The sequence below is a fragment of the Homo sapiens genome, chromosome 5, assembly GCF_000001405.40.
Source record: "Homo sapiens chromosome 5, GRCh38.p14 Primary Assembly".
Classification (NCBI taxonomy): Eukaryota; Metazoa; Chordata; class Mammalia; order Primates; family Hominidae; genus Homo; species Homo sapiens.
The window spans coordinates 97,075,377-97,089,740 of NC_000005.10; the positions used below are offsets into that span (position 1 = coordinate 97,075,377).

Here is a 14,364-nt window from a genome sequence, read left to right on the forward strand (position 1 = left end):
AAGCCTCAGTTTTTTTAAATCTAAAAAACAGGGATGAGAAAGTTATCTCACAGGATAGTTGTGAGAATTAAAATATGACATTTAATTAGAAATCATGTAGCAAAGTGCTTAGCTCAATGAATATTTATTAGGAAAAGATATTTTAGTCTTCTTAGGCCTGATCATATAGGCCCATGAAGCTCTTGTGTTTGTGTAAAACACTTTCTTTCTCTTGTGTGCGTGCTTCAAATGCTCACTCGTTAGTCAACAGCAGCTCCTGGGTAATTGTCTTGAGGATCTGAGGTTAGATCAGTAGCTTTCTAGCTAAAAATGTCTCCCGGAGGAGCAGAAGCATATTTCCATATCGGCTTCTAAGTCTCCTATGTTTTTGATTACAGCTGTGTGAAATGAATGGAAAAAGACTGAAATGATTAAGTAACTCTGCTGCTCTCCATTGGTGATGGGGAGTGAATTTGACAGGAGACGAGCAGACAAAGTCCTAGGATTCCAAAGAATTTTAATGGGCAACTGAATGTTAATAATTGTCAGAGCAAGACTCAGATGATCACATCAAATCCTCACAGGCATCTTATGTTATTTCCTCTACATCTTACACAAGTGGGAGACAACTAATAACATGGCCCGTGTACCATGATGCAGCCCAGAACTATGAATTTGACGAGGACATGGTTGATGATATTCCTTCTCTAAATACGATCCTCAGACCAGAAGCATCAGTGTCACTTGGGAAGTTGTTAGAAATACATTTTAAGGGCCCCACTCCAGACCTACTGCACCACAGGCTATGTTTCTAAAAGATCCCCAGGTGATTCTCAGCTTTATTAAAGTCAAAAAAGTACTGAATTAACCATTGATGACAAAGCATTTGTGCTCAGATCTACACAATGGCAATAGACAGTTTTAACTTCCTTGCTGTGTGTCTCTGGGCAAACTACTTAACCTCTCTGACTCTATTTTCTCATTTATAAACTAGAGATAATAGTAGTTCCTACCTCACAGGGTTTTTCAAAGTAAGTGTGCCATAAATAAATGTAAAGCCCTTAGGATAGTACTTGCTGCATAGGAAGACAGCAAAATATTCTTGTTTTACAAGTGATAATAATAGTAATAATAGATCTTAAAAGACTCATCCAAGTCACACAGTTAAAGTAGAAACAGAAAATTATAAGCCTCAAAATAATTGAAGACAGAGGCCACCAATTTTGGTTCCTGTCAATGAAGAACTTCGAAGGAGGGGAAATATTGATACAGTGGCTTTGAGTAGATCATCTCTGGGGCAGCCATGACTGACATCTTATCAGGTGGATCAGAAAAGGTCAACAAATATCTGACATACCTATTGCATACCAAAATTTAAGTTAAATTATTATTTCTTCTATCTCTTATCATCATAAACCTGAGTTTTTGTCCAAGTCTGTTTGCTAGGAAAGGCTGGCAGACTCCCAGTAAAATGGAAAGGTCTGTATTAATAATTCTAGTGACTGTTACCTTATAACTTTGGGATTAGAATAAGTTTCTGATAACAACATTTACAAGAATATTTGCCATAGATAACTCTATTTGTTCGCCTATGTTTATGAGTGGAATTTGATTTTATGCTCAAAAACTATTGATGACAATCTACTATTACAACTGTTGATGACAATCTACTATTGCATCTCTGATTTGGCTGTATACAACTGGACAAGTGTAAAATGACTCTGCAGATATCTTTAAAATTAGGAATCCAGATAAAAGCATATGCGGGTGAGGTTTTTTTGGTAAAATGTATTTTACAAGTAAAAGAAATTAAACAATTTAAAATGTACATTGTGGAATATAAATTTGTCACAATTAACAAGTGGTAGAGTGACTATGTCACAATTTAGTTGGGCAGAAGGGCAGGGGCATACCAAGGCTATGTAAAACGATTCACATTAGAACTTCTAATTGTGTGGAATTAAGAAAATTTGGCTAGGTGGAGTGGCTCATGCCCATAATCCCAGCACTTTAGAAGGCCGAGGTGGGTGGATCCCTTGAGCCCAGGAATTTGAGAACAGCCTGAGCAACATGGTGAAACCTTGTCTCTACAAAAAGTTAGCCAGGTGTTGTGGTGCATGCCTGTAGTTCCAGCTACTCAGGAGGCTGAGGTGGGAGGATTAACTAAGCCCGGGAGGCAGAGGTTGTAGTAAGCCGAAATTGCATCACTGCACTCCAGCCTGGGCCACAGAGTAAGATCCTGTCTCACAAAAAAAAAAAAATAAAATAAAATAATGAAGTAAAAGAAAAAGAAAAAATTTAAGTAGACTATGATGAAAGATAGCAAGCATTTATATTATATCATTCAATTAGAGCACCGTCTGAGTTAATGTTTTATGAGATTGCAGTTTTCAACTGTAGAGGATTACTTGATCATATTTGCTGTTTAACTTTCCTCCCTCATTAATCTATGGTTAACTGAAGTAGATTATTTGTTTTCAATTTGATCTAAATATGTCTTTTATAATCATTTCCATCTTTATAAACATAATTAATTCCTTCAAGTGTCCAGGTGGTAAATTCTCTCCTACATCTACTTCTATATATAGAGAGAGAGAGGGAGAGAGCTGGCAAGGAAAGAAAAGAGACAGTAATATATTGCTTAATGAAGGGGAGAATTCTGAGATTTTGTCATTTTGCAAACATCGTAGAGTGGACTTACACAAACCTAGGTGGTATAGCATATTGTCCCTAGGCTACAAACCTGTACAGCATGCTGTACTGAATACTATAGGCAATTGTAACACAATGGTTGGTATTTCTATATGTAAACATAGAAATGGTACAGTAAAAATATGGCGTAAAAGATAAAAACTGGTGCACCTGTGTAGGGCACGTAACATGCATGGAGGACTAGAAGATGCTTGGGGTGAGTCAGTGAGTGAGCAGTGAGTGAATGTGAAGGCCTAGGACATTACCCTACTGAATACTTTATGAACACTGTACACTTAGGCTACACTATAAACACAAATTTTTCTTTCTTCAATAATAAATTAACTTCAGCTTACTGTAACTTTTTTTTACTTTAAAGTTTATAAGGTAGGTTCGTTTATACCAGCATCACCACAAACATGGGAGTAATGCATTGTGCTACGATGTTATTATGGCTATGACTTCCATAGGTGATGGAAGTTTTTCAACTCCATTATATTCTTATGACGCCACTGGCATATGTACAGTTTGACATTGACTGGAAGGTCACTGTGCAGTACATGACTGAATATACACATACACATACTAACAATTTGGATATTAAACAGGGGAGATGATATAGATTATTGGGCAGAGAGCATAGTGGCATTGGATCGTTTGCTGATGATATTTGCATAAAGTAATTAAATCTGCCCCTGAGAAATAAACTTCCTTTGCTGATAGGAAGAAAATCTTTCTCATCAGACAGGTTTTCCTGTATCAGGGTTTACTCAGTTTGAACTGCTCAGGTATTATAATGCTGAAGCTTTCTCTTTTAATTACTTAGGCAAACTGGAATAACTTTCCTGCATACAGAAATGTATTTTGTTTTAAATGCTCAAAGTCTAATTAATCAGAATGTCGGTGCTCATTTGTATCAGGGGAAACCAGGGGAGAAGAGGGGGAAGGAAATTATCACAGTTGTCTTTGTTCCTTGGTGCTAACAGATTTAAAATGTCACCTTTGCTGCAAACTCTGTACCTCTGTAATGACAGAGAGGAAGCACAGCTGTGTGCCTTGGCTCTCTTGTGGGACCAAGTGAATTTCGTCAAGGGATCTGTAGCATCTATTGTGAGGGTGGAGGAGCTGATTCATTTAATGACACATGGGTTTGAGACATCATTTGCCAACCCCACTGAGAAAAACAAAACAAGAACTTAACCAGCACATGGGCACCATGTGAGCTTTTCTCTTTTTGTGTCCCTTTTCTTTATTGTTCAGTGCCCACCCCTTTCTTGGTAGGCAGAGGGGATATATATAGAGAGAAGGGGTGTGGGACACAAGGGCTGGTATAGAATGTGGAAATCTGTAGCATATTATTTCAAAGCACAGCACAATGGTTTGGTGGGAATCAAAGAATAGAAACAAAAATGTTCAGTGGCATAACCAAATAGAATGGTGCAAGGGAAGAAGGCACATAAAAGGAAAAGAGAAACTCTCAGCACTATTTGAATGGGCAGTTTAATGTTTGTGCTTAAGTTCTCCTTTTGCTGTAGCTGTTCTACTAGAGGCAGGGTGGCCTTCCACGGGATGACCAGCATGCGCCTATTGTTAAAGCAAACTAAATGGGGCCTGAGAAGGACTCCGTACTTCTATATTTGAGTCCTTGTGGACTACTGGCAACCTAACTTAATAGCTAGAGAAGATTGAAAATCTAACTTAGGAATGTGTGTCTGTAACAGTCGCTGAGTCCTGTCCAATCACAGCAGCCATACTTCAACCACTCACACACTGCTGGAGTGTTCAAACTGTGTTTAAATGAGGCAAACGCCAACCTGTAACTAATCCAGCTGTTTCTGTGCCTCACTTCCAATTTCTGTACATCACTGCCTTTTTTTTCTACAAATTTCTTCTGACCACAAGGCATCCCTGGAGTCTCCCTGAATCTGCTATGATTCTGGAGGCTGTCCGATTTGCAAATCGCTCATTGCTCAGTTAAACACCTTTAAATTTAATTCGGCTAAAGTTTTTCTTGTAACACTATTCTAGTGTCTTTCCTCCCCTTTGGTTACAACAAAATCTAGCAATGGCGAAGGGATATGAGGGAGACACAGGGACTAGTTTGAATATTTTGAGATAAACTTGATAAACAGAAAATTTGAATATATTTGTATGAATTCTTCATTTGGCAGAAATAGAGATGGGGATTTACTATAACACATTTATATAGAGCCATTTTCTACAAGGACTATGTCTTCTTTGGCTTTGTATAAAGTTGCTAATAATCTTTATTTGTTAATCTGAATGACATACTCTGCTTACTCTTTGTATATTTTTGTGCTTAACATTGATGTTAACATTAGTCATTTGTAAAAACATACATTACTTCTATATAATTGACTCCTATCTCTAAGCATCTCTAAATATTCTGTGTATCTTCCTCATTTGTTTGAGTAACAATTTACTAGTGAAAATAGAAAAACAGAAGGACAAAGAAATAAAGCTTCTTGCCTGCGTAGATCTTTGGTCAGATGACAGGTGTGGTTTTGAAACACTTCTTAAAATGTTTTTTTTTTTTTTTTTTTTTTTGTGTGTGTGTGTGTGTGTGTGTGTGTGTGTGGTGGAGAGCATTTATAGACCTTCAAGAAGAAACTTACCTGTTAAAATAACGATAACAATAATTCTAACCCTTAAGAAAGGTGACGTTGTGGGGAAACTGGGCCACATATGTTACAGTCCTCTAATTGGTTTTCTATTTTTGAAGAATTATCTAGTAACATGTATTAAGTATTTATTGTGTGTTAAGAATTTTTAAATATTCAAACAATTTGTCAAGTTAATTCTACTCCAGAAAATGTTTGCTTATTTGGTATAAAACAAGAAATTGAGGTCATTTATATTAAAAGTATGTCATAGAGCAGGGTGCAGTGATGACCGCCTGTAGTCCCAGCTACTTGGGAGGCTGAGATGGGAGGATTGCTTGAGGTCAGGAGTTCAAGGCTGTCACGCCTGTGCCACTTCACTCTAGCCTGGGCAGCATTTTATTTCATGACAAGTATATATCATAAACAAAAGAACTCAAAGATTTAAAAAGAGAGTTTGGAACTACCCAGAAGAGCTATCATTGGAGAAAACAAATCAGACAAAAAAAAAAATTGTAAAAAAGTAGGTTCAGCCTTGAGATCATGGATGCCCCATTTACCCTGATGTGATTATTATACATTGTATGCCTGTATCAAAATATCCCATATACCACATATATATATATATATATACACACCTACTATGTACCCATGAAAATTAAAAATAATTGTTTTGAAAAAAGTAGGTTCAGAAAAGTGCATAAAAATAGTTGCCAAAACTGCAATTACTTTTGCACCAATCTAATATTAAAGATAATGAAAACTGGGAAAACCAAAAATTTCCCTGAAGAGCAAATAAACTCACTGATGAAATACCATTCAAGACAAGTTTTGGAAACATGGTAACACATAGAAAGATGTGTGCAAGAAATAATGTTAAATGATTAAAATAGAATACAAAGTAATATGGACACAAGTCAGAACTATGTCGATATATATGTAAACATGCTATTAAATGTGAGGTAAAATAGTTTAATGTTTATTAAGCCTACTATAAAAAACACTCAGCTTCAACATTGTCTTTGGATCTTCATTTCCTTATAAAGGCTCTTGTGTCAAATTACTCTTTATTCACATTTCAGAATTAGAGCTTTGGAGAAGTAATCAAAGGAAATTGACTTCATAGTAATTAAAGTAAATAAATAAATTTGTGTGTTTTTCTCCTATTGATCTATCTTTATTAGTTTGATTTTTTTTTTCAGAACCAGCTAGGGACCCTAAGAGGATTGAGAAAAACCTTTTCTACCCTTACAATATCATCAAAAGTGATTTCTGTGGCCAGTGAATGCCAAGTCAGTAAAACGCATATTTGGAAATCAACCAACAGGAAATCCTGAAACTATATGTTGGTTTTCACTTTTTTTTTCTCCCTTGAGTTTGTTTTTAATCATCAGCTTTAATGTAATTTTTTCCTGGTGTACATAAACGGCACAAATGTTTGGTATCAATCCAATTTTTATGTGAAAACTGCAAACCCATGTACGGTACCCTCATCTCAAAAGAGAAGCACAAGACTGCATTTGACTGGTACAACCTTTCTGTGGATCCTCTGGTGGGAAATCTCTTTCATTTTCACACTTTCCTATTGCCTAGGTTGTCCAGCTGGTTACTACCTCTCCTCTTCACCTGATTATACCTGATTACTGCTGACTCGATGGGCAGGGAGAGTCGCTGACTCCTGACAGAAAGACTCTGTCACCCCTTGTAAGTTACTGGGGATCCCTCTCTGAAGACTGCCTGCTTGTTCTCTGGGGACTAGTCCTTATTTCCCTTCTGGGATACAGAGGGGAAGGTTATTTGTATTAAGCAAACATCTCTGAGAAACAACCCTCTCTGCAACATAGAGACCACAAGGAAAAGTGCAACATTGAAAGAATAGGGACTATGAATTGTTTTGAGTAGACAGAAATTTCTGCAAATGTATCTCTATCTTTCGCTCTTAAAAAAAAAATCTACTTAGTGTAGAAAAAGCTTCCTTCTTGACTCCTAATCCCCACCTTCTCAATAATGTTTCGAGTGTATTCCTACAAATTTATTTTTTATATGCCTAATTTTTTAAAAACCAAAAAAAACCTGGATTTTTACTTCATGTATTTCTTTTAAAATTGTTTTTCAATTAATCTATAGTGGATATTTTATTTTTGTATCTATATATAGAGATCTAGTTTCTTTTAGTGACTGCATAGTACAGATCAGTGCTGTCTAAGAGAAATATAGTGCAAGGTTCAAATGCAAGTCACATATGCAATTTTATACATTCTAATAGCTACATTAAAAAGGTTAAAAAGGTGAAATTAATTTTAGTAATATATTTAGGCCAGTATACCCAGAATATTATTGCTGCTACATTCAATCAACATAAAAGTTAATGAAATGTTTTTACCTTTTGTTTCATATCTTCAAAATCCAGTGTGTACTCAATTCAGACTAGCCTCATTTCAAGTGGTTAGTAGCTACTGTATTGGAGAGCACAGGAAGAAATGTGTCCTGAAACTAGTTTCCTAATGAGGAACATTCCAATGCTTATTAATATGAACAATTAAACAAAAACATTCTTTTGACATATCTTGAGCACTTACAGCAGTGGTTTTCCAGGATGAATTCATAGAGGTGAAAAATGCTGGGCCAAAGGGACAGAACATATCCAATTTTAATAGAGTTGGCTCCAAAAAAGACTCAAAAAAGACACTCTCAACAACACTGTTGGAGGATCCATTTCCTCACAGACTCACCAATGATAGATATTCTTTTTTTTTTTTGAGACAGAGTCTCGCTCTGTCGCCCAGGCTAGAGTGCAGTGGTGTGATCTCGGCTCACTGCAAGTTCCGCCTCCTTGGTTCACACCATTTTCCTGCCTCAGCCTCCCGAGTAGCTGAGACTACAGGCGCCCATCACCTCCCCTGGCTAATTTTCTGTATTTTTAGTAGAGACAGGGTTTCACCGTGTTAGCCAGGATGGTCTCAATCTCCTGACCTCGTGATCCGCCCGCCTCGGCCTCCCAGAGTGCTGGAATTACAGGCGTGCAATGATGGACATTCTAATTATAGTTTTCCAATCTGATTGGTGAAAATCTTACCATGGTTCGGTAAGTACTGGGATTGAAAACTGGAATTTCTTCTGTAGAATGCCTGTTGAGCTTGAATTTTTCCCTGGGTTAATTGAACCAGGTACTAACCCTTCATTCTTGTGCCTAGGTTCTGGAGAATCCCCTCCTGTTTACATGAGGGAGCTCCTCACAATTACATCTGGGGACTGGAATCACAGCCCCTGTTCTTCAGCCCGGGGCAGGGAATGAGAGCAGTCCTCAAACTTTCGGTTTAATATGCAGAAATTGACACTGGTACAGACACTATCATTCCAAATTCCTCATTTTTGTAAAGGTTAGCCAGAAACACAAGGTAACCATCTATTTTTTTGTGTGTTCTTTGGATATAAGATACATCTCTGCTACCAAGAAAGAGACTGCAACAAAGCACAGCTTTATTGGGAGTACATGTAAATGAGGAGACCTTAATTACCATAAAATCAATTTCCTTTGATTACTTCCCCAAAGCTCTAATTCTCAAACGTGAATTAAGAGTAATTTGAATAGAATGAATAGAATGTGTAAATAGACAACAACATGAGAAGGAAATTGAAGGTTGAATCTAGAAAAGAAATGGCTCAGGTTAAAAGGAAAAATGAGGAGAGTTAGAGGGGCAGAATCAGGAGCTTCTGTTTCATGATAGGTATGATTAGCCCTCCATGGACTTCCTCTCTTCTTCCCAGAGACTCCTTTCCTTAACTAAGTTCTTTCTTTGAACCCTGGTGTGCTCTTCTAACCGTGTAACTGTGTCCAGAATTGGTGTGTTCTTTGTCTCACTGACATCAAGAATGAAGCCACGGACCCTTGCGGTGAGTGTTACAGTTCTTAAAGATGGTGTGTCCAGAGTTTGTTCCTTCTGACGTTCGGACGTTTTTGGAGTTTCTTCCTTATGGTGCGTTTGTGGTCTCACTGGCTTCACGAGTGAAGCTGCAGACCTTCATGGTGAGTGTTACAGCTCATAAAGGCAGTGCAGACCCAAAGAGTGAGCAATAGCAAGATTTGTTGCAAAGAGCGAAAGAACAACGCTTCCACAGTGTGAAAGGGGACCTGAGCAGGTTGCCTGGGCAGCCTGCCTTTATTCCCTTATCTGGCCCCGCCCACATCCTGCTGATTGGTCCATTTTACAGAGAGCTGATTGGTCCATTTTGACAGGGTGCTGATTGGTGCGTTTACAATCCCTGAGCTAGACACAGAGTGCTGATTGGTGCATTTACAGTCCTCTAGCTAGACATAAAAGTTCTCCAAGCCCCCACTAGATTAACTAGACACAGAGCACTGATTGGTGCATTTACAAACCTTGAGCTAGACACAGAGTGCTGATTGGTGCATATACAATCCTCCAGCTAGACATAAAAGTTCTCCAAGTCCCCACCTGACTCAGGAGCCCAGCTGGCTTTGCCTAGTGTAGCCGGCACCGGGGCCAAGGGCGGAGCTGCCCACTAGTGCTGTCAGGTAGCAGTCCCGCACCGCCCACCTGCACTCCTCAGCCTTTGGGCGGTCAATGGGACCGGGCCTTGGAGCAGGGGGTGGCGCCTGTCAGGGAGGCTCCAGCCTGCTGCTGGAGCACACCGCGGGGGGCTCGGGCATGGCAGGCTGCAGGTCCCGAGCCCTGCCCCGTGGGGAGGCGGCTGAGGCCCCGCGAGAATTCAAGTGCGGCGCAGGCAGGACAGCAGTGCTGGGGGACCCAGCACACTCTCCGTAGCTGCTGGCCCGGGTGCTAAGCCCCTCACTGCCTGGGGCTGGTGGTGCTGGCCGGTCAGCCGATCTGAGTGTGGGGCCCGCGGAGCCCGTGCCCACCCGGAACTCGCGCTGGCCCACGAGCTCCACCACCCTGCAGCCCCGGTTCCCGTCCACGCCTCTCCCTCCACACCTCCCGGCAAGCAGGGGGAGCCGGCTCCAGCCTCGGCCAGCCCAGACAGGGGCTCCCGCAGTGCAGCGGGGGGCTGAAGGGCTCCTCAAATGTGGCCAGAGTGGGCAACATGGCAGAGGAGGCGCCAAGAGCGAGCAAGGGCTGCCAGCATGCTGTCACCTCTCGTAACTATATACATACACATACATATATATTGTATTAGTCCATTCACACTGCTATAAAGAACTACCCAAGACTGGGTAATTTATAAAGGAAAGAGGTTTAATTGCCTCACAGTTCCGCAGGGCTGAGGAGGTCTCAGGAAACTTGCAATCATGGCAGAAGGGGAAGCAAACATGTCCTTCACATGGAGGCAGGAAGGAGAAGTGAGAGCTGAGCAAAGTGGAAAGCACCTTATAAAACCATCAGATCTCATGAGAACTCACTATCATGAGAATGGTATGGGGGAAAGTGCACCCATGATTCAATTATCTCCACCTGGTCCTGCCCTTGATATGTGGGGATTATTACAATTCATGATGATTTTGGGTAGGGATGCAGCCAAAACTATAATATATAATATATATTACATATTATATATATTATATATTTTATATATATACACACATAAATAGAGAGAGAAATAGATTTTAGAAATTGACAGTTTTGGTTTTTAATTTTCTTGCTTTTTAGGCCATTTATTTTAGATCCTGTGAATCCTACTGTCAATGTTGTGACACCTGCAATGCCTGGGATGAAGCTGCCCATGTGGTGAGATGCAGCCTGTGGAAGCCTCTTTTCAGTGGAGTGAGAGCCAAGCCCCCTTGGCTTTTCATAGACAATTGGTGAACGGGACAAGGAGACACTGTCCTTGGATGTCTGAAAAAAAAAGAAAAAGGTTGCAAAACATGTTGCCAATAAGAATGTTGTAGATGAAAGGCAGGATGAAGGAAAGTGGTCTTAATTTAAATTCTCTATTTTACTAAACCTACTCTTTAACAAATATGTTTATGTGAGGCATCAGAAGCAAATGTATTTTGGCTTTTAAGAGAATTAAAATTGTTTCCCCTATTTTTTTATTTGTTTGCTTTGGTGGCTTTGTGACCAAAAAAATTGTTTTAATCCAAATAGCCACAATAAATAAATAAGCAAATGAATAAAATTCCCAGGTCATTTGAGAGAAAAGATTAACTGAAAAGGTAAAGCATCTCCCCCTTTTTAGTTTCAGTTAATTATAGTGTCAGGATGACTTTTTAACTTACCTGGCAATCTGGAACCTCATAGAGTCACTTGCGTTTTCAAAATTTCCATGTGAAAACATGATTGTGCCAAGTACTCCCTATTAACTTTTAGACATCATCTATAAAATCACTACAGGAAAATATGGAAATATCTGAGAGATACACAGTGGATCGCCTCAGAATAAATCGTTCCCCAAATCATTTTATGACTGCCTGAGTCGGGACTCATGGGTCAGAGTAGAGTCATAGTTAAGGTTTGCAACTGGCTTAGTAGCAAGAGGGGATAAACAAACTATCCAGGCTGTTGAACTGTCCAGTTTCGCTACAACTGTATTTACTTGTTGGGATCAACTGTTTTCTTTCCTATTAAGGTATTAGTAGCCACTGATAATGGAAGCCAGGGCCCGCTAGAAATAGACCAGAGGAAATTTCCTGACTCACTTGCATAACAACAGTTCATCAGCACTGAAGATATATGAAGTGTGACTGCAGAGTAATGGGAGTGATTAGGTTTCTCTGCACAACAAAACTCTTACATACAAATGAGCACTGTCCCCTTCAGGACAGTCCTCAGGGAACCCGTATGCTTATTCCGGTGTGTGATTGGTCTGGAAGCATTTTTGGATGCCCTCTGGACAGAAAGTGCTTTTGGACACTGTTAGTGGTGACAAAGTGTGTCCTTTGAGGATGGATTAGATTGTTGGAAATGATACAATGTATTCACAGTATACATCTGTTGTTTTTGTCTACCCAGAAGCCTCTGTCCAAACTTGTGGTTGGAGAGGCTGTATTTCTTCTGTCGTTCATTCTGTCTTTGAAGGCTCTCGAGGAGAAAATAGCTTTTAATATCTCTTGGGAAATGGCCACATTTTCCCCTGGCAATTGAACCCATGGCTTTCTTGAATGACTACTCCTCAACCAGGTCTAAGTTGTTTAGGTAGGCTGACTTGACCACCAGTTCCAGAGCACAGACATGTGACGAGCCTGGCCATAGTCATTGATTCAGGGATGGACACATGACTGAAACGGCATGCTGGCATTTAGTTCTGGTACTTGGATTTTAACTGTTGGGAGGAGAATTTCTCACTCTGCTATGATATAAGCATGAAGCTACTGGCTTCCACTTGCTGCTACAAAGAGCCTGCTTAAAAATGGAGCCAACATAAAAGGAAGCAGATTTAAGACCTGAGCGATGAGAGCGTGCACATGTGTGTATATCCACATAATGAGACTAAGTCTTGATTTCTGCACCTTGATCCAGATATACCTGGAGCAGAAACTCTGCTGGGACTCTTTTGTATCATGAGCCAGTAACCTCCCTATTTGCCTAGTAGGTTGATTTGGGCTTCAATCTTGCAACCAAGTGAGTCCTGACTAAACCAGCAGAATGGAGCCAGGTAAGGTTCTTTCTCAAGAAGAGAAGAAGGAAGGTATCAAGACGTTTATGACAAATTTCTACTCAACACTGAGCACCTGCTAAGTGCTGGGCCTAATAGTCGAGATGCTGCAATGAACTAGTCCATTCAGGATGCTGAGGTGTTTCAGCCTAGAAGAGACTGCTTTTCTTCCTTTGCTCATGCAGACTCAGGGGGCCATTCTCAAGGAGGAGTTAGTGACAGGAATGTCTTTGGCAAAGACAGCACTCTTGAGTGTGGTCAGAACATGTTATTTATTTCCCAAGATGATTAGTTTTTGAAGAAGACAACAAATAGTTGAGGCTATGAATTCTATCTCTGTAAAAATAGAGTTATGTTTTCCTCCTGTAGTCAGATCTCCTGTGGAACGTGAGTAAACAGGAATTTCTATGTATGGAGCAAGGACAGTATGGTTAGCACATAATACATGTGTTTATTTCAGAGCTGGGGAGGACTCCTGACCAGCGTGACACCTAACATTGGAGTGAAGGGGCAGCAGGTGAGGAGAAAGTTAACCCTGCACCAGTCCTAACTCTAGTTTTCTCAGCAGCATTTCTGTTGCTTGAAGAAGGTCCTCCTCGTGTCAGCTTTTTTGGTCTTTTCTTAGGTTGAAAAGACTGGAATAATAAAATGGGGCTTTGCTCTGAAATGAGTAAGGTGGATGATATGGTTTGGCTCTGTGTCCCCACCCAATTCTTATCTTGTAGCTCCCATAATTCCCCTGTGTTGTGGGAGGGACCCTGTGGGAGATAATTGAATCATGGGGGCAGGTCTTTCCCCTGCTGTTCTTGTGATAGTGAATAAGTCTCCCAAGAGCTGACGGTTTTAAAAATGGAAGTTTCTCTGCACAAGCTCTTTCTCTTTTCCTGCTACCATCTATGTAAGATGTGACTTGTTCCTCCTTGCCTTCCACCGTGATTGTGAGACCTCTCCAGCCACGTGAAACGGTAAGTCCATTAAACCTCTTTCTTTTGTAAATTGCCTAGTTTCAGCTATGTCTTTATCAGCAGCGTGAAAATGGGCTAATACAGTGAGATTTCTCTGGTTGTGAGGTATGTGATCCTTGCAACCAAGGAAAGGTTATTGCAGGGCACATAGGCCAGCGATTCCTCATCATCATCATGCCCTCCTGGGCCTCATCATCTCCTGTCTCTGCCTCTCTCTGCATCTGCTCTCTACACCAAGCAACTTCTCCCCCTTCTACTGATCAGCTTCCCTTGCTGACTCATGGTTCCTGCTTCTTCATCCCTTCCACCTGCAGAGACCACAGCTCTCATGGACAGACTGTTCCCACTTCAGCTCCCAACTCCAACTGGCCAATTCCTTCTGTGATTTTTAGTTCACATCCCTGAGAGGACAGACTGATTGGTCCAGTTTGTGGTTTTGAGCCAGATTACCCAGAATCACTGGCTGGCCTATGGGGTAGCTAGCTGTGATCAGGATGGGGCAACATCACGTGAAGCCAACAACAGAGAAGCAGGAA

The 14,364-nt window shown here is 40.4% G+C and overlaps 1 long non-coding RNA gene across 3 annotated transcripts in view; it reads left to right on the plus strand.

Moving 5' to 3' along the window:
- LIX1-AS1 (LIX1 and RIOK2 antisense RNA 1) overlaps positions 1 to 14,364 on the plus strand; it is a 40,691-nt gene that overhangs the window by 1,652 nt on the left and 24,675 nt on the right. The window contains exons 2-4 of one of the 3 annotated variants that reach the window (NR_187470.1): positions 6,885 to 6,995; positions 13,324 to 13,380; positions 13,767 to 13,828. The exons of 1 other annotated variant lie outside the window; for it this stretch is intronic. This is a non-coding gene — a long non-coding RNA (LIX1 and RIOK2 antisense RNA 1). The remainder of the gene's footprint in view (positions 1 to 6,884; positions 6,996 to 13,323; positions 13,381 to 13,766; positions 13,829 to 14,364) is intronic. One more of the 3 variants, NR_187471.1, reaches the window with a different exon arrangement.